The sequence below is a fragment of the Homo sapiens genome, chromosome 4, assembly GCF_000001405.40.
Source record: "Homo sapiens chromosome 4, GRCh38.p14 Primary Assembly".
In the NCBI taxonomy this organism is placed as follows: domain Eukaryota; kingdom Metazoa; phylum Chordata; class Mammalia; order Primates; family Hominidae; genus Homo; species Homo sapiens.
This window is the reverse complement of record NC_000004.12, coordinates 4,401,569-4,421,587: the sequence shown is the minus strand read 5'-3', so window position 1 is coordinate 4,421,587 and position 20,019 is coordinate 4,401,569. Positions and strand designations below refer to the sequence as shown.

Below are 20,019 nucleotides of genomic sequence, written 5' to 3'. Positions count from 1 at the left end.
GGCGGAAGGAGCACTGCAACAAGATGGGGTCTCAGCCCTGCGCGGTGGCTCATGCCTGTAATCCCAGCACTCTGGGAGGCCGAGGCGGGAGCATGGTGTGAGCTCAAGAGTTCAAGACCAGCCTGGGCAACATAGGGAGACCCCCCATCTCTACAAAAAATTTTAAAAATTTAGCCAGGCGTGGTGGCACATGCCTATACTCCCAGCTACTTGGGAGGCTGAAGTGGGAGGATCGTTTAAGCCCTGTCTCAAAAAAAAAAAAAGTCTCAGTCCTGCCACTTGGTTGCTGTGTGATGTGACTTTGGGCAAGTTAGTAAACTTCTCTGAGCCGTGAGTTTCCGTTTCATAAAATAGAGGTAATACCTACTTCTTGGGGTGCTGTGAGGATTTGTGGCTATGCAAGTAAAGCCGTTAGCCCTTGGTGACGGCTACTGTTCTTGTCATGATATACGCTTCAGGGAGGAGGAAGTGGCTGTATATGTCAAGCATCCCTAAACTTCAAAATGTGAAGTCCTAAGTGCTCCAAAATCTGAAACTTTCTGAGCGCTGACATGACACTCAAAGGAAATGCTCGTTGGAGCATTTTGGGTTTCAGGTTTTTGGATAAAGGATACTCAACTTGTATTTATCTTTTCTTCCACAGGAAGCTGAGATTGACAGCATTCACCAGTTAGTTGTGGGGGCAACTGAAAATATCAAGGAAGGCAACGAAGACATAAGAGAGGTAGGCACTGTTTAGGTTCCCCAGGTGCGACGTGGCGCAGCACTGAGTCCCAGCAGCGGGTGTTAGTCTCGCCGGCACAGCTGCCCAGGAGCCTTGCTGGGCAGAGCTCACGGGGCTGATCACAAAATTGTGTGACCGCGGAGCTGCGTGTGTTCATGAGACCCACCACCTGTCGCCCACCTCCAGCTGCTTTCGAGAGGCAGTGGCTCACCAGCCTCCAAAGGAGCAATCCAGGGTGGGTGGGGGTACTCCTGGCAGGGTCAGGCCAGCTCTTCATGTCCAGGGATGTACATGGGTAGCTCGTTGGCCCCCACCGAGGGGTCAGAGCCTGGCCCCTGCTTACAGAGGACACTACAGCCATCCTGTTGAGGGGACTGTTTCCCAAGCTCAGTCCTCAGGGTTGGGTCACCACGGACATCATGTTACTGGGAAACACAAAGCTTGCGGTCACACTCTGCTCGGGGCCCTTAACCCTGGGACAGAAGGGAGTGATTCCGAGAGTTGTGTTGAGGGAGAATTGTGCAGGACCCAAATGATGGCCAAACAGAGGGAAATATAACCCATTTGTCTTCTGGTGGATCTCAAAAGCCATCTATTCAAGGTAAGCACAGATGGAACGACACCCATAGTTACAGCCAGGATCAGGAGAGCACGTGGGAAGAGGGGGGCATTTCAGGGCTGCTCAAACCAAAATCCTGTGTGATAAAAACACCTGTGCTCCCGTCCCTGCCCAGGCCATTAAAAACAACGCTGGCTTCCGCGTGTGGATCCTCTTCTTCCTCGTGATGTGCTCCTTCTCCTTGCTCTTCCTCGACTGGTACGACAGCTAGCCAGGGCCACGGGGGCCCAGCACGAGAGTCCTCATGGGCACTCACAGACTGCGTGCTTTCATGTACTTCCAGTGCTGGAGCATGGTATGACCAGATTTTATCACAGTGCCATTTGAAGGGAAAGGAGTTCAGACAGACAGACGTATTCCCCAAAAAGGGATACCCCAGGCCGATGGTGTTCAGCCATTTAGCAGCTGAAAAAGGAAACAGTGCACACCAATGGGAGGCAGCCTGCGTAGCCCTCATCAGGCAAGACAGACTGAATGCAGGAGTGGGTGATTAGCTGCTCCTTGAACTTGAGGCTGCCTTGGCAGCAGGGGCACAGCAGGCCTCAAGAGCCCCTAATTGTCTCAGGGTTCAAAGGAAGACACTGACCTTTCCCATCCCGGTAGCTTCAGGGAAGATCATAGTTAATAACGTCTCTCAACAAATGATTACTTCTTTGTTTCCTTGTGGCTTCTTGTCTGTCTGAGTCAACGAATACACAGACTTACTGGATTATAGAAGAGAAAATTCACATCTGCCTTGTTAATCTAATAAATATAATTACAGCCCCTTAATGTGTTGTCAATGAGTCTAAGTTGACAAATTCAGTGGCAGCCCAGCCACCTCCTATCAATCAATCAGGGAAGAAATGCAGGGGAGACTGGGGCCCTCAGTGAGGGGCTGCCTGGCATTACTCCTCCAAAGACTGCTGCCCCCAGAACAGGCAGGGGGTGTGGGAGGGCCAGTTTCCCGCCACTGGGTCCAAGGAGCCTTTGTTCAAAGGAAGAAGTGGGCCACGGAAGAACGGGCCTGCTTCTCTCGTGCCTGTGCTTCTGACCTCCAGGAACTGTAAACAGGAACACCTATGTGTAACTGAAGGCATGAGACATCTGTACAGGAAGCATCCCAGCGCCCACATGGGCATGAGACAGTCTGCACTGCGCCTGGTGAAATGCGTGTGTGTACAGACAGTCCACTGGGCAGCACAGGTATCCTCATGTTCTTTATTTGCACAGAGTGAAATGTCAGAAGTTACATGTAAATGAATTCACAGTCAATAAAGTCCACGTCTACCTGGAAATACAGGCTCGGCCTCTGCACTGTGCGCACACGGGCTTCACTTGTGTCTATTCAGATGCGCAGGGAAGCTTTGGCACTGATTTATTGCTCTTGAGTCATTTTCCACAGCTTAACACCACCCTTCTCAGCACACGCCTCTGATGCACACCGCTGCGCCAAGGTCACGGTCTGTGTCTCCAGACACCCTTGATGAGAAAATACATTTTCTGTCTTAGAAGCACATTTCAGGAAACAAGAGTGGCGCTGACCACGGTCACCATGCCTGTTCACAACACATCTCACACTATTTGTCGTTTATTTCTGATCTAAAAAACTGAAACTTTTGACACGTACACCAGAAACAACACATTCAATAACATAGAAGAAATGTCTGCGAATGTCTTTTCTATTTGTTTTACACACTTAGTTCATCTAACTGGCAGTTTTGTAAACATAAACTTTAATATCAAGATTCAAACTGGAACAATTTTCTTACAAAGATTGTGAGTTGAAATTTGTCATTTTGTTTGCACGGTGCCACACCAGTCCCCCACCCCCACCCCACAGCCTTTCCTGCCTGTTTCCCACATCAAGGGATATCAGTTTCATAGAATAAAAATTAAAGTAGCTCAAGCTTACCAGAAATTACATTTCCACTTTTCCCACCCAGCTCATTTCTTTAAAAACTAATGGGGCTATTGGTGCAAATTTATTCATAATAGAAGTGAACCAGAGGGCCAGTGGGGGCTCTTTCCTATCAGCACATCACAGAGCAGACAGACTACCTGCAGGGAGAGTTCTGCACCTCACGGGCCCAGGGCCGTCTCTTCCCAGCCCTCTCCCTCACATGCTCTGCCAGTCTACACACACTGGAGCAAACCCCAGCTGTCTCCACCCAGATGGGTGGTGCCCCTCCCTCCTTACCAAGATGCCAGAGTCAGAGGGGAGGGAGTAGTCAATCCACACCGAGCCTGCCACATTGCAGGGCCGTCCCACCCCGACTCAGGAGTCAGCACAGGGAGGGGTGGGGGGGTCTTTTTCCTCGTTCTCTATGCCACTTACTTACTACAGTGCACCTTGGCAGCAGTCAGCACTGTTACCCGCTGATGGCCGAGGAAGAAATGCGAAGTAGGCTTGCTCTTAGCACAGCGAGAGATCACTCTAGATATGGCTATGGAGGAAGGTTTGCAGACAGCAGGGTCGGTTCAGAAAATCAATTCCACAAAATGCATTTATCTGAGATCCAAACCCTTCGCATATCCAGTGTAAATTTATTTTTTTACAGCATCCAATAAATCCCAGTAAAGGAGCTAAATGAAGATCTTAACATGAAAAGTGGTGTCAGAGCTCTTTAGGCAATGCTGAAATGCACTTGATTTTATGCCCGTGGGTGGTCGGCAGCAAGTTTTATTTGCAAAGCAGCATTAGCAAACAGAAGCAATTGCACCGTAAATGAGTAACCTCTAAAGTATCAGTAATTATATTTAATGAAATGTCCCTCAAAGTCCCTTTGTTATTTGCAAGTGACACATTGTAAGGAACTTGCCCATCCCGCTAAGCTGACTTCTCAGCCGCTTCAGTCTCCTGCTCGGACAGCTTCTCTTCTGACAGAACTGACATCCAGGGCGATACGGAGCGCGTGATGCTCTGCTTGGCCAGGTTGTAGTGGTTTATGACTGTGTAAAATTTCTCCCGGGCACTGGAGTCTTGCTCCGCGTAGTAGCTCTCCAAGCCTTCTGGGATGCACTGGGTGTTCTGAAAGACAAGAGGCCACTGAGAGCACGCGTCGGTGCAAGAGGGGGTGCCAGTGTGTCTCCAGTTGGCAGCCAACAGTTACTGAGCACCTTCCCTGAGCTTGGAGGAATAGATACAGTGATGAGCAAAAACGGGCATGGATCTTGCCCTGAGAGAGCACAGCACAGGGGAAGCCTGGCCTTGATTATTCTTAATAGACTGGCTGGTGAGTGCCATGGCAGATGGGCACTTGGGCTCCAAGGGTGCCAGTGTAATGGGACAGCAGGCCTTACTTCACTGAAGATCTTGCACTAGTTGTCATTTTTAATCAATTGGAAAACAACAACTTATGAAATATCCCAAAACAACCAATTCAAATGAGGACGGAAGGGAAGTGAGAAGAGCTTCCCTTGAGCTAGGTTCTCAGCAGACCTTAGCTAGGTGAGATGAGGGAGGGGCAGCACTCAAGGCAAAGGAAACCAGAGCAGAGAGGGGCCTTGGGGCGGGAGTCAGAAGAGGCACACAGAGCCACTAGGTGGTCATGACTAGGGGCTGGGAAGATGGCGAGGGGGTAGGGAGGGGCCGTGGGTTGGGGGAGTGCGAGACAGCACTTGGGTCTTACAGAGGTTTATCAGGAAGCGGATTCTGGCAGCAAATCCACACCCCCATTCCCTGCAGGCCAGGCCCTGTGGTTCAGGCAGGGCCGGGGGCGTTTTCCCTGTTTTGGCAGCTGTGGCTGCAGCCTGTCCTTGAGGTGAGTGGCTCACCTCCACGGGCTTAAGGCAGGTGTACAGGGATCAGCTCCTGATGCCACCCAGCCCCCATGGGGAATCCATTCTCTGTTACCAGCTCATTGAACCCTGAAGTCTAAAGATGAGAATACTTTATACCTGCAAGGCCCTTGTGAACAAAGAGCTATTTTCAAAAGAGAAATGACAAATGGAATGTGCTTCTCACCAACACTGCCCCGCATCCAGTGTTCAGGGGCTGCCACTGGCAGGAGGGCGGCGCTACAGGAGAAGGGAAGCTTTGGAGCCAGGCCCACCGTACCAGCTGAGTTCACGTGCGGAGTGTTTTCTCTCTCAATCTCAGGTCCCTCACCTATAAAATGCGGCCAATGAGTCACACCACCGTGTTGCTGAGGACTCAAGTCAATGCACAGTGGCTCAAGTAAAGAAGCCAGGATGTGCCCCAGGTCACAGTGTGGACAGAAAAGAAAGCCAAAAGACACCACTGAAGTACAGCCCTTTTATCAACAGCGTCTTGATCTCAGTCCCACCAGGACGTCGGGAAGCACCTGACACGCTACAGAACAAACAGCCCATTCAGACCAGCAGCGCGTGCATCAGGAAGGAGGCTCTGCAGGCCAGACAAACTCCCCTCCAGCCTCACCGCCACGCCCCTTCACGCTGTCCTCTCCATCTGCTGCTCGTCATCCCTCAGGGAAACGGACCAAGGGTTCCCCTCTTCCCTCCCACCTCGGCACCCAGCAGAGTCCTGCAAGACCTGATGCGGCCAACACCTGTGGAGTGGCGGCCCCGCTCAGGGCTGGCATACGAGATGGCTCAGAAACGGCCCTGCCCTACAGGTGCCCCGCCCAGGGAGAAGGACAGATGGAGTCCCCAGATGCCTCCCAGACAACGTGGCTGCCCAAAGGCAAGGCTGGGGAGGCACCTTGGTGCCCATGGTGGCGAGCACCCCAGGGGGTGAAGGGCTTCCCAACGGAAGCAGAATGCAGAGGCCTTGCCGTGAGCCCACATGGGCCAGGGAAGGCTTTCTGAGAGGCTCCTGCCGCCCCCCATACCCATCTCATACAGAGCCACCCTCACCTGTGGGGTGTGTGCCTTGAGGGGAGCGTGACTCAGCTGGGCCTGCACTTGGAGGAGCTTGGGGAGGTTCCCCAACTTCTCTGGGCCTCATTCCCTCACCTGTGAAGTGAAGCTGATGACGGACCTGTCTTGTGGGGCACGGGAGGACTGAGGTAGCTACGTAAGTGTGTTCCCAGCACCCAGCACTCAGTCAGCACTGGAAAAGAGTAGCCACTAAGGTCCGGGTGCGATGGCTCATGCCTATAATCCCAGCACTTTGGGAGGCTGAGGGTGGATCACTTGAGCAAACCCAAGAGTTCGAGACCAGCCTGGGCAACATAGCAAGAACGTGTAACCTGTCTACATGAAAAAAAAGAATGGCCAATATAAAGGGAAAAGCCAGTATAAAAATGTGGGATTTGGGGCACTTTCCCCATTATGTTTAAAACTTTTTTATAAAACATGTAGTAATTTCATGTTGTTGTTGTTTTTTTTTAAAGGCAGAGGTAGAAACCTAGTGTCCTCTCGGGCCACGTCTGCCTTTTTCACCCTCCTCACGATATGCCTCAGCTTGGGGCCACTGGGAGTGGCTGTCCAGAAAAAGCCTGTCCCCTCCCCACTGCCTGGGGCTCTGAGGTCCCTGCCCTCAAGGTGTCGAGTCCAGTGTGCACATAGTAGGAGGTACTTAGTACATGCTGACTGTACCAAGTGAACTGAAGGGCGTGACCTTGGGCTCCACGAAGAGCCTCTGTACACCCTCTAACCACTGGTAAAATGGGGATATAACAGCATCCACCTCAAAGGGCTTCTGGATGCATTCTGTGAGCAACAGGTGTAAAAGTCCCACACAAGCTGCCTAGCGTTGGTGTGTGACAAACACACGCACAAATATGGAGGGAAGAGGTCAAGGGGACTTCATGAGCTCATGCCTCTCCTTTCTCCAGCTTCGGCCAAGGGCAGCTGGATACAGACCAGCAGCTCCCTGGCCTTCCTAGGTGCCTTCTCCGGAAAGGACACCCCCTCATTAGATGCTAGTGGAAAATGCCAAAGTCCCACAGGACATCACTCCAGAACAACTTATCAGGGGACTCTCAATTCCCAAGGCTGGCTGTGGATGGGAATCACCTGGAGCGCCTTTTAAACAAAAGGTGCCAGGCCCCTTCCATTGTGGCCGCCAGTCTCATCTGCAGCCGGACACAGGACTGGGGCTTCATCTCCTGGGTCATCTCCCACCCAGGCCAGGTATCCAGCGGGACTTGGGCTTGCAGGATAGGGAAGGCAGTTTTAGCCACCCCCTCCTCCCTGTGGGGAACCTGCTCCAGGCTCAGAGAGGATGAGCCAGGAAGGAAGCTCCAGGGCAGCTGGTGAAGCCACTGGCCTCAGTTATTTGTAAGTAGCCAGTTTCGGTGGGGACTTCCGGCCCCCAGGAAGCTGTCCTCTGCTGTCCTCTCTCCGGCTCAGGGCCAGCTCCTGGGCCTGCCCGTGCTCCCTCTCCATGACATCGGCCTCCCTCAGTAACTAGCTCTGCACCAGGCCCTTTCCTTTTACCCCTCTGCCTCCCAGATTAAATCAGTTCTCCAGTCTGCAGTCTCCCCTCCATCCCCAGCGCCCCAGTCTTCTCTTCCCTCAGCCACTGCAGCAGTCTCCTTGGTCATCTCACTGCCCCGTCTCTCCCTTCCAATCTCCAGCCTCCCCAGGTGACCCAAGAGGTCACCCTATCACTTCCCCCTCCTCCAGGGGCCTGTGCCTGGCACTCAGGATGCACCCGCTCTGGCCGTAAGCTGGTTCATCCTCTGCCGCCTCCCTGTGCCTGTGGCTAGCCCCCCACCAGCACACCCCCACCAGCACGTCCCCACTGCCCGCTGCTCCCTCTGTGCTCCTCTACCATCACAAACCCCTTCCCACTGGGTCAGGGCCAGCACTGCCCTCGTTCCCTGAAGCCCGCACCCTCCGCTTCTGCTTGTTGTAAAGCCCTGGTGTCCTCTCAGCCTCCAAAACAGACTCAAACTCTCCCAGCCCCAGCCTAGGGCGTGGACGGGGCTTGCTGAATAAAACATGAGTGAAAGGGTGGGGGCTTTCCTTGGCTGGGCACACTCCCCCAAGACCCGCAAGCTCCCTGGCTCACCTCCTGGAGACCCGCTCCTCCAATGTGGACCATCCTTCTAGAAACTACCGCCCACATGCCCATGCCCAACCCCTGGGCCCTCTTTCCTGTCTGTCTATAGCCTTCACATTCAGTGTACGACTGACTTCCTCACCGTTCATTTGAGAATGTAAGAGCCTCGTGAAGGCAGGGGGCTGTACCTGACTGGCTCTCGGCTGTGTTCCAGCGCCTAGAACAATAGCAAGAGCTGCTGGCACGGGGTGGGTGCCATGTACATGCCTGCCCAAGGGAGGAAGAGCTGAATGTCGGGAGCCTGAAGGACAGCATGATGTGCAAGGAGAAAAAGGGACTTGGGCTGGACAACGTGAATTCCAGCCTTTCCTGCTAATCGCGTAAGGACTCTCTGCGTCCTCATATCAGCAAAAAACAAAACCTAAATGAAACCCAAACCCAAGCTACCCAGTGACAGCTGCCAAGCCAGGCTTCCCTGTGCACGTGCTCAGTGCTAGAAACAGTTGGCTTCTCCTGCTTTATTTTAATCTCAGCAGTGCCAAGCCCTGGAGATGAGCATCTCACACTGACTCTGGGAAGTTCAGAGCCAGCTACTGAGTGTATGGATAACGGGAGCCCACAGCTACCGAGTGTATGGATTCCGTGAGCAACAGGTGTAAAAGCCCCACACAAGCTGCCTAGCGTTGGTGTGTGACAAACACACGCACAAATATGGAGGGAGGAGGTCAAGGGGACTTCATGAGCTCACGCCTCTCCTTTCTCCAGCTTTGGCCAAGGGCAGCTGGATACAGACCAGCAGCTCCCTGGCCTTCCTAGGTGCCTTCTCCGGAAAGGACACCCCCTCATTAGATGCTAGTGGAAAATGCCAAAGTCCCACAGGACATCACTCCAGAACAACTTATCAGGGGACTCTCAATTCCCAAGGCTGGCTGTGGATGGGAATCACCTGGAGCGCCTTTTAAACAAAAGGTGCCAGGCCCCTTCCATTGTGGCCGCCAGTCTCATCTGCAGCCGGACACAGGACTGGGGCTTCATCTCCTGGGTCATCTCCCACCCAGGCCAGGTATCCAGCGGGACTTGGGCTTGCAGGATAGGGAAGGCAGTTTTAGCCACCCCCTCCTCCCTGTGGGGAACCAGCAAGTGCGTTTTACAGCCACACGCGGCATAACAGCATTTGGGTCAACGATGGACCACATGCCATGGTGGCCCCATAAGACTGTCACGGAGCTGAAACCTCCTGTCGCCTGGTGACCTCGCAGCCACCGTGTAGACGGAACACAACACACTCCTCACTTTGCGGAGGTGCTGGTATACACACACCCCCTGCACTGTCAGCTGTATAAACGTCTTGCACATACAATTACATACAGAACATAATACTTGACAGTGACAATAAACGCGTATGTTACTTGTTTATGTTACCGTACTATACTTTTTAATCAGTATTTTAGAGTGCATGCCTAGTTATTAAAAAAAAAAAGTTAACTCTAAAAGAGCTTCAGGGAGCTCCTCCAAGAGAGATTCTGGAAGAAGGCAATGTTTTGTTTTGTTTTGTTTTGTTTTGTTTTGTTTTGTTTTGTTTTGTTTTTAGACGGAGTCTCCCTCTGTTGCCCAGGCTGGAGTGCAGTGGCATGATCTCAGCTCACTGCAACCTCCGCCTTCTGGGTTCAAGCGATTCTCCTGCCTCAGCCTCCTGAGTAGCTGGGATTACAGGCACCCGCCACCATGCCTGGCTAATTTTTGTATTTTTAGTAGAGACGGTGTTTCACCATGTTGGCCAGACTGGTCTTGAACTCCTGACCTCAGGTGATCCACCCACCTAGGCCTCCCAAAGTGCTGGGATTACAGGCGTGAGCCACTGCACCTGGCCTGGCATTGTTATCCTAAGAGATGACAGCCCTGTGCCTGTCACTGCTCCTGAAGACCTTCCAGTGGGACAGGGTGTGGAGGCAGAAGGCGGTGATACTGTGGATCCTGACCCTGTGCAGGCCTAGCTAATGTGTGTGTCTGTGTCCTTAGCTTTAACAAAAATGTGTTGGAAGTAAAAAAAGAATTAAAAAATTTTTTAATAGAAAAAGCACATGTAGAAAAATAATATACAGTTGTGCAAGATGTTTGAGCTTTAAGCTAAGTGTTATTACAAAAGAGTCAAAAACTTACATTTTAAAAGTTTATTGGCTGAGTGTGGTGGCTCACGCCTGTAATCTCAGCACTTTGGGAGGCCGAGGTGGGTGGATCACCTGAGGTCAGGAGTTCGAGACCGGCCTAGCCAACATGGTGAAACCCTGTCTCTACTAAAAATACAAAAATTAGCCGGGTGGTGGCGCACACCTATAATCCCAGCTACTCAGGAGACTGAGGCAGAAGAATCGCTTGAACCCGGGAGGCAGATGTTGCAGTGAGTCAAGAACGCACCATTGCGCTCCAGCCTGGGCAACAGAGTGAGACTCCATCACACACACACAAAAAGTTTATGAAGTAAAAAGGTTACAGTGAGCTCAGGTTAATTTATTACTGAAGAAAGAGTATGTTATGAATGGAGTGTAGCCCACATGTCCAGCGCTCACTCGTCTACAGGAGTGCACAGCCATGCCTCGGCCTTCGCATTCACTCACCACCCACTCCCTCACTCACCCACCCAGACCAGCTTCCGGTCCTGCAAGCTGCATTCATGATGGAAATGCCCTATTCAGGTGGACCATGCGTTATAACGTGTTTTTACTGGACCTCTTCTATGTTTAGATACACAAATACTTACCATCGTGTGACAACTGCCTACATTGTTCAGTATAGCAACATGCTGTCCAGGTTTGTGGCCTAGGAGCAGTCGGCCATACCCTCCAGCCCGGGTGTGTAGCAGGCTGGGCCGCGTGGGTGTACAGGACACTCTGTGAGGCTGGCACAATGATGGAGTCGCCTAACAACGCGTTTCTCAGGACGTATTCCCGTCACTAAGTGATGCGTGGCCAGGCCTCCCCTGGCTCCGTCTTCTCTTTCCACCCTTATCTCCCCTCCCTTTAATCCCGTTGCCTTGCATGTCACTTGTGGGCTTTTGGGAATGAGCATTATATATGCAAAGCGAGCATTTCCATGCCTGTAGAGAGCCCAGCACCAGTGTGGCTCCTGCGGTGGGACAGGCAGGAGAGGGACACAGGTCAGGAGGGTGGGTGTGCCCCCCAGCCCTGCTCCCCTTTCCCTGCGTGGCCTTGGGCAAGGCCTTCCTCTCTGTGGGACTTGGCTTCCCCCAGTACATCCTCTCCTCTTTCATGTGGCGGACATGGTCCCGTCTCTCTCCCTCCCTCCCCCAGAGCAATCCGCTGGGATCCGGTAGGTATCATCCTGGGCATTTCCCACGGCAGACCCTGGCTGGGCCCACTTTCGAGGAGGGCCCTTCCCCGGACTGCTGAGGTCAGCTCCCAGGGGCCAAGTCCGGGAGTTTCCTTCCTGTGGGTCTCATGTGCCCCCTGCCTACCTGCCCTGCTCTCCAGGTGGGCCTTCCACAGGGACACTCCTGACACTGGCCCCCTGCTGCTCTAAGGCCTGTCCGTGGGCCAGCTGGGGGAGACGGCAGGAGCAGCCTTGAGTTCAAGGGAGAGAACATGGGGTGCAAAGGCGTCCCAGGGCCTCTGGGGGAAAACGGAGTTTTACCTTGAGGACGAACCCATCGGGGCAGGCGCGGTCATACTTGTACACCTTGTAGACAACCAGGAAGACGACGCAGGTGAGGAAGGCCAGGGCGAAGAGGACCAACACGGAGACCTGTGGGCAGAGGTGGGACTGTCAGGGGTGGCCGGAAGGCAGCAGGACAGACACACACACACCCGCACACGAAGGCCCCCCCCCACACAGCATGTGCAGAGACTATCTCTGGAAGAACCTGGTAAGGGCAGCTAGGCACAAGAGGTTAGAAGCATCACTGTTCACTGGGCAATTTTTTGGTAACATTTTAATTTTTCACCATATTCATAAGTGACATTCATTTTAAATTAGTTATTTTTAGTACCCAAGGTCCTGCATAGAGAGCTCAGGGTACAGATATGAAGAAGCCCCACTGTTGCCCAGGCAGCTCTCGGGCCACTAAGACACATGTGTGAGAAGTGGGGTTGGGCTGCCCACTGCCCCATCACGGCGGTGGTGCATCAGCTACCAGCCAAGCATCCGCTCAGCAAATGTGTCCTGAGCCCTGGGCTCAGTGCTGGGACGCAGTGTCGCATGGACACCAGCCTGCTTTTGCGTGGGACCAGGAAAGACAGAACCTCTGCAGCCCCATTGGCCTTCGCCCTCGGCGGTTTCCCATGTGGTTAATTAAGTGTCCTCAGGGACAGGGATTCGGTTTTCTTCACCATGGTATGCTGAGCACTAGACAGCCCCAGCACACAGTAGGTGTTCAGCTGGTGTTTACAGATGAACTCACGACAGCTGCAAGACAGCTGGCTTGGAGGGGGACAGCCTGCCCCGGCTGGAGGGCACGGGGCATGGGTCACTAGATGACACTGGACCTGGACCTTGAAGGCACTCACCCGGCTGCCAGGGAGCCTGGCAGGGACGAGAGTATGTCTCAAAGCCAAAACGGGCTGGGCGTGGTGACTCACACCTGTAATCCCAGCACTTTGGGATGCCGAGGTGGGTGGATCACCTGAGGTCAGGAATTCGACACCAGCTTGGCCAACAGGGCGAAACCCCATCTCTACTAAAAATAAAAATTAGCCGGGCATGTTGGTGCGCACCTGTAATCCCAGCTACTCAGGAAAGCTGAGGCAGGAGAATCGCTTGAACCCAGGAGGCAGAGGCTGCAGTGAGCTGAGATAGTGCCACTGAACTCCAGCCTGGGTGACAGAGCGAGACTCTACCTCAAAATAAATCAATCAATAAAAAGCTAAAACAGCGTGCAGATGGCCCTCCGCCTGCCCAGAGAGGCAGAGAGAGCGATGGGGCTCCCTGGCCGGGTGGGAGGATGCCAGGTGCCAGCACGTGGCAGGGCCTCCGTAATCGTATGAACATGCACAGAGCTGCTCGCTCCCCACCGCCCCTCCCAGCAGCCTGGAGGATGCGAGGGGCTGGGACTCTCCCCTGGCCACATACAGACCCTACAGCCAACAAGGTTAAAGAACTGGGGAGCTCTGCTGCTTCCTAAGGCTGCAGTCCCGAAGCTCAACTGGGTAGACCCTCCAGCAGAGTGCCCTCCTGAGCCCTGCCCGCTTCAGGAACTCTAGGCTTGGAGTCCCCTAACACCATGCAGTCCCCAGTTCCCATCTGTGATAGGAGACCAAGGGCGTCCCAGGCACTGGTCCTGGGGAAGCAGGAGATGTACGTGAGAAAGTGTCCTATCAGCCGTGCAGCATGGTCACCTGGGAGACGGGCGGCCACCCTGCCGTGAATGCTGAGGCTAACCCTCCTTCTCTTTGGGGGCCCCTATGCACCCCCTGCAAGCCGCTCAGGCCCCAGCACCAGGGCCCAGGGTGCAGATTCTGCCTGCAGCTCTGCACCTTCGCAGCTTACCAGCCTCACCACCTTGGAAGCCCCTTAACCTCTCTGAGCCACAGACTCCTTCCCTATGACATGGGACGACACCTCCACCACGTCCCCGTCTCTGCAAGGCTGCAGATGCCTGGAGAGCCACACTAGTCACTGCAGCTCATCCCCTGCCTCCACTTCCCGGAGGTCTTCATCTCCAGGCCTCACAATTGTCCCCGAGCCTGCATCCTGACTGCAGGGAGCCCTGGCCACAGGACCAGCTGAATGGGGTGGCTCAGAGCTGAGGGACGTGGCCTCTCTGCAGTCAGATTCCTGTCCATTGTGCTGCCAGATTCATTGGTCCCAGGGGCTCTCAGCACAGTGCCCGGGGCAGGACAAGGGCAGCACCAAGACCCTGAGACCCCAGCCCAGGCTGCTCTCGCACTCCGCCTGGCTACCTGCTACATCCCACCGCCCGCCCTCCCATCTCCCCAGCTCAGACCCACTACAACTCCAATGAGACCTGTCCCCTCTGTGTCCCTTCACCTAGGGAGGGACCCCTCAGGCCCCTGGCAGGCAGATTCACATCCCCTCTGAGCAGGCCCATCCTCCTGGTCCCCAGGTCCTGCCAGTTCCTCAGTCACGTCTCCCGCCTCCACTCCCCCAACCCCGACCGTAGGTTGCCTTCTCAGGGCCATCACCCTCTCTAAGGGCCAGAGAAACTCCAGTCCACTGGGATGGCCTACAGTGCATATGGAGCCTGTGCCTGACAAGGGACACAGACAGGATGGAGCCAGGCTGCTCCCCAGGGCCGCAGTGCCCACAGGGAAAGGCGCCGTTTAGTCCAGATCACAGCTGCAGTGCACAGGCCAGCGCACAGCACCTGGGCCAGGGCAGCAGAGCGCAGAGCTGTGATGAAGCAGGCAGAGCTGGCCGGAGAAAGAAGGCGCAGCCGTCTGAGGCACGTGGCAGCCAGAGGCAGTGGCAGGAGCCCAGCCAGGGAGGGCTGCCTGGCGATGATAGCCGCAAGCCCTGATGGTGCCTGGGGTTGGGACAGGCTCTGGACAGGGGCCGGAGCACAGACCCTGCGGCTCTAGCTCACTGGCCGGGAGTCTGGCACCTGGCTCCAGCCTGTGAATAGCAGTGAAAGGAACGCCTTCCAGGGACAGTCACGGGACACTGAGAACAGCACCTGGGTTGGGGGGGAGCATGACGGAGCTGTCTGCTGTCGCTGCTGTTATCCTCACTCTCATCTCCTCACTGGCCCTGGGGTGTGCGCCTGGCAGACAGCAGAGCGGGCTCTCAACCCTCTAACCAGCTGCCCCGTCGCATGTTCACCCGGGGCCAGCCTGCCCGGGCTCCAGCTACCTGCCTTTCTCCAAGTCTACACTGCAGGGCTGCCTCACTCAGGGTGGTCCAGAAGGACTTGGTTCCATTTAACTGGCCTCCTTCGTAACCCTTTGCATTTTATTCTGTGCATCTGAAAACACTATTCTGAGAAGAGAGCCAAGCCACCACAGGTGCAGATGTCCTGTTAGAAGAGGGTTTCAGGGGCAGACGTGGTGGCTCACGCCTGTAATCCCAACACTTTGGGAGGCAGAGGCGGGTGGATCATGAGGTCAGGAGTTCAAGACCAGCCTGGCCAGCATGGTGAGACCCCGTCTCTACTAAAAATATAAAAAATTAGCCGGGCGTGGTGGTGAGTGCCTGTAATCCCAGCTACTCAGGAGGCTGAGGCAGGAGAATCGCTTGAACCCAGGAGGTGGAGGTTGCAGTGAGCCAAGATCGCGCCACTGCACTCCAGCCTGGGCAACAGAGTGAGACTCCGTCTCAAAAAAAGAAGAGGGTTTCAAGTCCTTGAAGAGATGGGGCATCATTAAACCTGTTTCTCCAGTTGGGAAGCCACATCAGTTTGGCTCCTGGTACCCCACCTGTCTAGATTTAAAAAGAACCCCCATTCTCTCCTGCAGGGCTGTGGGGGAACCACCTCCTCGGGGGTGTCCTCCGAAACCTGGCCAAGCCTTTCCTCCAGGATCCCAGGCCCAACGGCTGAGGAGCCAGCCGAACCGTGCAACGAGAATGCGAGAGTCCCTGGAACAGTCAAGGGGAGAAGGGCAAAGAAATACATCCAGGGAGAGTCAGCGGGCGGCCCGTGGTGTGGCAAAGAGCTCCCCTACAGGCTGAGCTCTCTCTTCCCCCTGCCCTGTGCAGACTCTGGAGCTGGGGTCTCCTCAGCCACTGCAGGGCACAGCATGGGGTCCATGGCCTAAGGAGAGAGAGGGCCACGGGCCTCTCCAGAAACTGGCTCGGAATTGAATCCTGTAAGCTGCTGCCTGTGTGATCTTGAACAGGTCACCTGGCCTCTCTGGGCCCCACATCTCATCGCCAAAGTGGGGGAACCATGCCTTACACCCTGACGCATCTCAGGAGAAGGACAAGAGACCACAAGTTGAGAGCACGCTGGGCCCCTCAAAAAGAGATGCTGAAGTCCAGCCCCCAGGATCTGTGAAGGGGACCTGATTTGAAAATAGGATCTTTGCAAATGAGCCCATCAGGGTGGGCCCTAATCCAACCAAACTGGTGTGTCCTTATAAAGAGGGGAAATTTGGATGTAGACAGACACGCATATAGGGAGAGGGCCGCGTGAGGACGGAAGATTACAGCACTGTGTCTACACAGCAAAGCCAAGGATGGTGGCAACCTCCAGGAACTAGGAGGGGCAAGGACAGAGTCTCCCCTGCAGGTTTCCAAGGGAGCACAGTTCTGCCGAAGCCTTGATTTCAGACTTCTGGCCTCCAGTAGTGGGGGAGTAAATTTCTGTTGCTCTGAGTCCCCCCAGTTTGTGGTACTTTGTTATAGGGCCCCTAACAGCAGAGTGACTTCACAGGGGTCAGGACTGGCTCCCCTCCCCCATACTTGTTCTCTCTGCCATTACCCCGTTCCTTCCGCACCATGCCAGGCTGCCCTGCCCTCTCTCCTTGCCCTTCAAAGCCCTGGCCAGGCCCCCTGCCCCAGGAAGGCTCTGGAACATCCCAGCCTCTATCGGGACACCAATCGTGAATGCAGGCACCAAGGAGCCCAGCATCTCTTTTTTCCTAATTAAAGTGAAATAAAAGTGTCACAGTTTGGAGACTTTCCTAAGTCCCTGCCCCCTCCCCATGAGATACTTAGAAGAATTCTGGAACATTGGATGATGTTACTGAGCCAGACATCGGCGTTTCCTCCAGGACCTTGCAGTATCTTTTAAGCTTCCTCTACAACAACATGCCATGATCGGAAGCATCTTGGAGAACCACGACCACCAGCAACTCCATCGTTCAACCAATTTGAAAATACTTGATGGACGAACTAGCCATTCATGCCAGGGACTAAAAGTGAGATAAGCCCGGGTTCCTGGCCTGCTCGGCCACACGCAGTGACCCTGCAAAGGGCATTCGCCCCAACGCCTGGTTTCCTGTGAAAGGGGGATGCCGGCCCAGCACCTGCGTCTATGATGGGGTGTGCAGGAGACCCCATGGCTGGCAAACAGTGGGCACGGTGAGCTGGGTGAGCCATTGTTACCCTATGGGAGCCCCACTCCCACACAATGTTGCAGGCTCCATGCTGGGCAGAAGCTGGAGACCGTCCAATTCAACGCCTTTCTTTACACATAACAAACGCCTTGTCATTGAAAAGGCAGCACCTCCAAGTCGGCCAACAGGACCCAGGTGATCCTAAGAGGCCGGTGTTGGCTATGCAAAAAGAGAGGTGGCGGCCATTCGCAGTGACTCCAGCCTGGGTACAAAATGGACTCAACTGTGGCTGCCAATGAGAATCATGGGAGGCTCTAATGTCCCCATCATCTGGACTCCACTCCAAGTAGCGATAGCGGCATAGCAAGTTTAAAACTCTCCAGATGCCTCCCGCATGTAGCCTAAGCTGGAAGCAAGGGGATAAACAAAGGATTCCACATCTGGGCAGAATTCCTGGGGGCTCTCGAGCTACACCCCCCACCAGACTTTATACTCTCACACCAAAACACTACCATTAGGAGGAGCTCTGGAGACGTCCGCCGCCTTCTGCACTCTGGTCAGCATTTAAAGTCTGCGTACTCCTAACACAACACCTGCAAGGCAGTATTACTGACTGTGTTTTACAAATGGGGAAACTGAGGCTCAGATGTACATGACTGGGCCCAGGCAAACTGGCTGTCGTTGGCTGAATAACGGCCCTAAAGACACCCAGGTCCTACTCCCGGAAATGTATATGGTAAGGGACTTTGCTGATTCAATCAAGTCAAGGACCTTGAGAAGAGGAGATTATCCTGGATGATTAGGTGGGCTCTAAAGGTAATCACAGGTGTCCTCCTAGCAGGGGAGCAGAGGGAGGTGCCCCTGCTGAGGAGGCGGCGACTTGAAGACAGAGAAAAGAGCAGAGAGAAGCTTGAAGACATTGCGCTACAGGATATGACGGCGGAGGACGGGACCATGAGCCCCATGTGATTCCAGAAGACAGAAGCGGCAGGGAAACAGTGTCTGCCTAAGAGCCTCCGGACAGAGCAGGGCCCGGCACACCCCTTGATTTTGGTGCAATGAAACTGACTTAGGACTTCTGACTTTCAGGCCTGGGGAGAATGCCCGTGCGCCGTCTTCAGCCATGGCATGGGTGGTAATTTGTTACACTCACCTCTCCTTTCAGTTCATCTTCCCACAGATGGAGCCCCCGAGGGCAGGGCTGTGATTCACACATCTGGCACAGAGAAGATGCCTCCTGCACGTTCAGCGAGTGAGTGAGTGAGTGAGTGAGTACAACCAGCAGATACTCCATCTCCTAATGAACACACACTGAACAACTCTTGGACACCTGGAGCCGACCCAGAATAACGTCTACGCATCGAACAGAACGTGGATTTAGTTTGCAGGAGGTGCTGGCTGTCTTGGTTTTATTAAGCAAATGATCTCGCCTGGGAAGGAAGCAGATCCAGGGCAGCTCTTCCATCCACGCCCCGTGGGTTGATAGACAGTGTCTGATTCCCATGCCTGGCTTCTCCAGGTGGGCCAGGCAGTCTCTAGGTTGGGAGAAGCGCATTTCCTTAGAAGCCGGGCCTTTCTTCCACCAGGCACAGGAAGTGCGGGGCCCACACCCGGGCCCACCGTGCCTGCAGGAACCCATGAACCTGTTCAAGTTTTTGTTTCAAAATCAAAGGAGAAAGGCCGGGCACCATGGCTCAGGCCTGTCATTCCAGCCCTTTGGGAGGCCGAGGCGGGCGGATCACGAGGTCAGGAGATCGAGACCATCCTGGCTAAAAAACGGTGAAACCCCGTCTCTACTAAAAATACAAAAATTAGCCGGGTGTAGTGGCGGACGCCTGTAGTCCCAGCTACTTGGGAGGCTGAGGCAGGAGAATGGCGTGAACCCGGAAGGCGGAGCTTGCAGTGAGCCGAGATCCCGCCACTGCACTCCAGCCTGGGCGACAGAGCAAGACTCCGTCTCAAAAAAAAAAAAAAAAAAAAAAAAAAAAAAAAAATAACCAGGCGTGGTGCTGCGTGTCTATAATCCCAGCTACTCGGAGGGCTGAGGCAGAAGAATCATTCGAACCCGGGAGATAGAAGTTATAGTGAGCCAAGATCATGGACTGCACTCCAACCTGGGCTACACAGCAAAACCCCATCTCGAAAAAAAAAAAAATCAAAGGAAAAAATAAGAAACCAGGCTGGGTGCTGTGGCTCATGCTGTAATCCCAGCACTTTGGGAGGCCGAAGCGAGAGGATCACTTGAGCCCAGGAGTTCGAGACCAGCCTGGGCAACATAGGGATAACTCATTTCTGCCAAAAAAAAAAAAAAAAAAAAATTAGCTGGGCATGGGGGTAAGCATCTGTGGTCCCAGCTGCTCAGGAGGCTGATTTGGGAGGATCGCTTCAGCCTGGGAGTTTGAGGCTGAAGTGAGCCGAGATGGTGCCACTACACACCAGCCTGGGTGACAAAGCGAGGCCCTGTCTCAAAAAATCATCATCATCATACTGACACTGGTGAATCTATATTGAGGAACCCAGCCTGGACTATATTCATCTTTAGATCAAAGCAGTCAAAATTTTCTCTTTTTTTAATGAAGGAAGGGGTCCATGATGGCCAAAGCACCTCAGTCCCAAAAGGCCCTGCCTTCTTCCTTCTTACTGGAATCCCCAGGCAGCCAGGGGACATTCTCAGGTGCTTTGACGTGGTTGAGCAGCCCTGCAGGGCTGTACGGTCCCACAGCGTCACCCTGGTGTTAACTCTTCCCAACACAGGGCGAGAACTGCTAAAGAGCCAGCCCCGATAACTTTGCTAGGG

The 20,019-nt window shown here is 54.1% G+C and overlaps 2 protein-coding genes across 13 annotated transcripts in view, besides 2 other annotated features; one reads left to right on the top strand and one right to left on the bottom strand.

Annotated features, from left to right (window-relative positions):
- STX18 (syntaxin 18) overlaps nucleotides 1–2,620 on the top strand; it is a 123,376-nt gene extending 120,756 nt beyond the window's left edge. For all 5 annotated transcript variants that reach the window (NR_144414.2, NM_001346282.2, NM_016930.4 and 2 more), the window contains 2 exons: nucleotides 644–724; nucleotides 1,459–2,620. Coding sequence is in view for 4 of the 5 variants with exons in the window: in NM_001346282.2 (NP_001333211.1) it covers nucleotides 644–724; nucleotides 1,459–1,554 (177 nt within the window). In the remaining variant the exon portion in view is untranslated. The remainder of the gene's footprint in view (nucleotides 1–643; nucleotides 725–1,458) is intronic.
- Nucleotides 2,530–20,019, bottom strand: part of NSG1 (neuronal vesicle trafficking associated 1) — a 32,527-nt gene continuing 15,037 nt past the window's right edge. For 6 of the 8 annotated variants that reach the window (NM_001287763.2, NM_001040101.2, NM_001287764.2 and 3 more), the window contains 2 exons: nucleotides 11,905–12,015; nucleotides 2,530–4,353 (listed from right to left, as the gene is read on the bottom strand). In NM_001287763.2, the coding sequence (NP_001274692.1) occupies nucleotides 4,153–4,353; nucleotides 11,905–12,015 (312 nt within the window). In that variant the 3' untranslated portion in view covers nucleotides 2,530–4,152. The remainder of the gene's footprint in view (nucleotides 4,354–11,904; nucleotides 12,016–20,019) is intronic. The other 2 variants (NR_167932.1, NR_167933.1) reach the window with 1 other exon arrangement.
- Nucleotides 5,975–6,476: an enhancer, noted in NCBI's record as "H3K4me1 hESC enhancer chr4:4416839-4417340 (GRCh37/hg19 assembly coordinates)". NCBI's record gives its function as "activates a minimal SCP1, AML or CMV promoter by ChIP-STARR-seq in naive H9 embryonic stem cells {active_cell/tissue: H9 hESC(naive)}" and the evidence as "EXISTENCE:reporter gene assay evidence [ECO:0000049][PMID:30033119]".
- Nucleotides 15,504–15,634: a silencer, noted in NCBI's record as "fragment chr4:4407681-4407811 (GRCh37/hg19 assembly coordinates)". NCBI's record gives its function as "represses an EF-1alpha promoter that drives an FKBP-Casp9 reporter gene in an ReSE screen in phorbol 12-myristate 13-acetate-treated (for megakaryocytic differentiation) K562 erythroleukemia cells {active_cell/tissue: K562(+PMA)}" and the evidence as "EXISTENCE:reporter gene assay evidence [ECO:0000049][PMID:32094911]".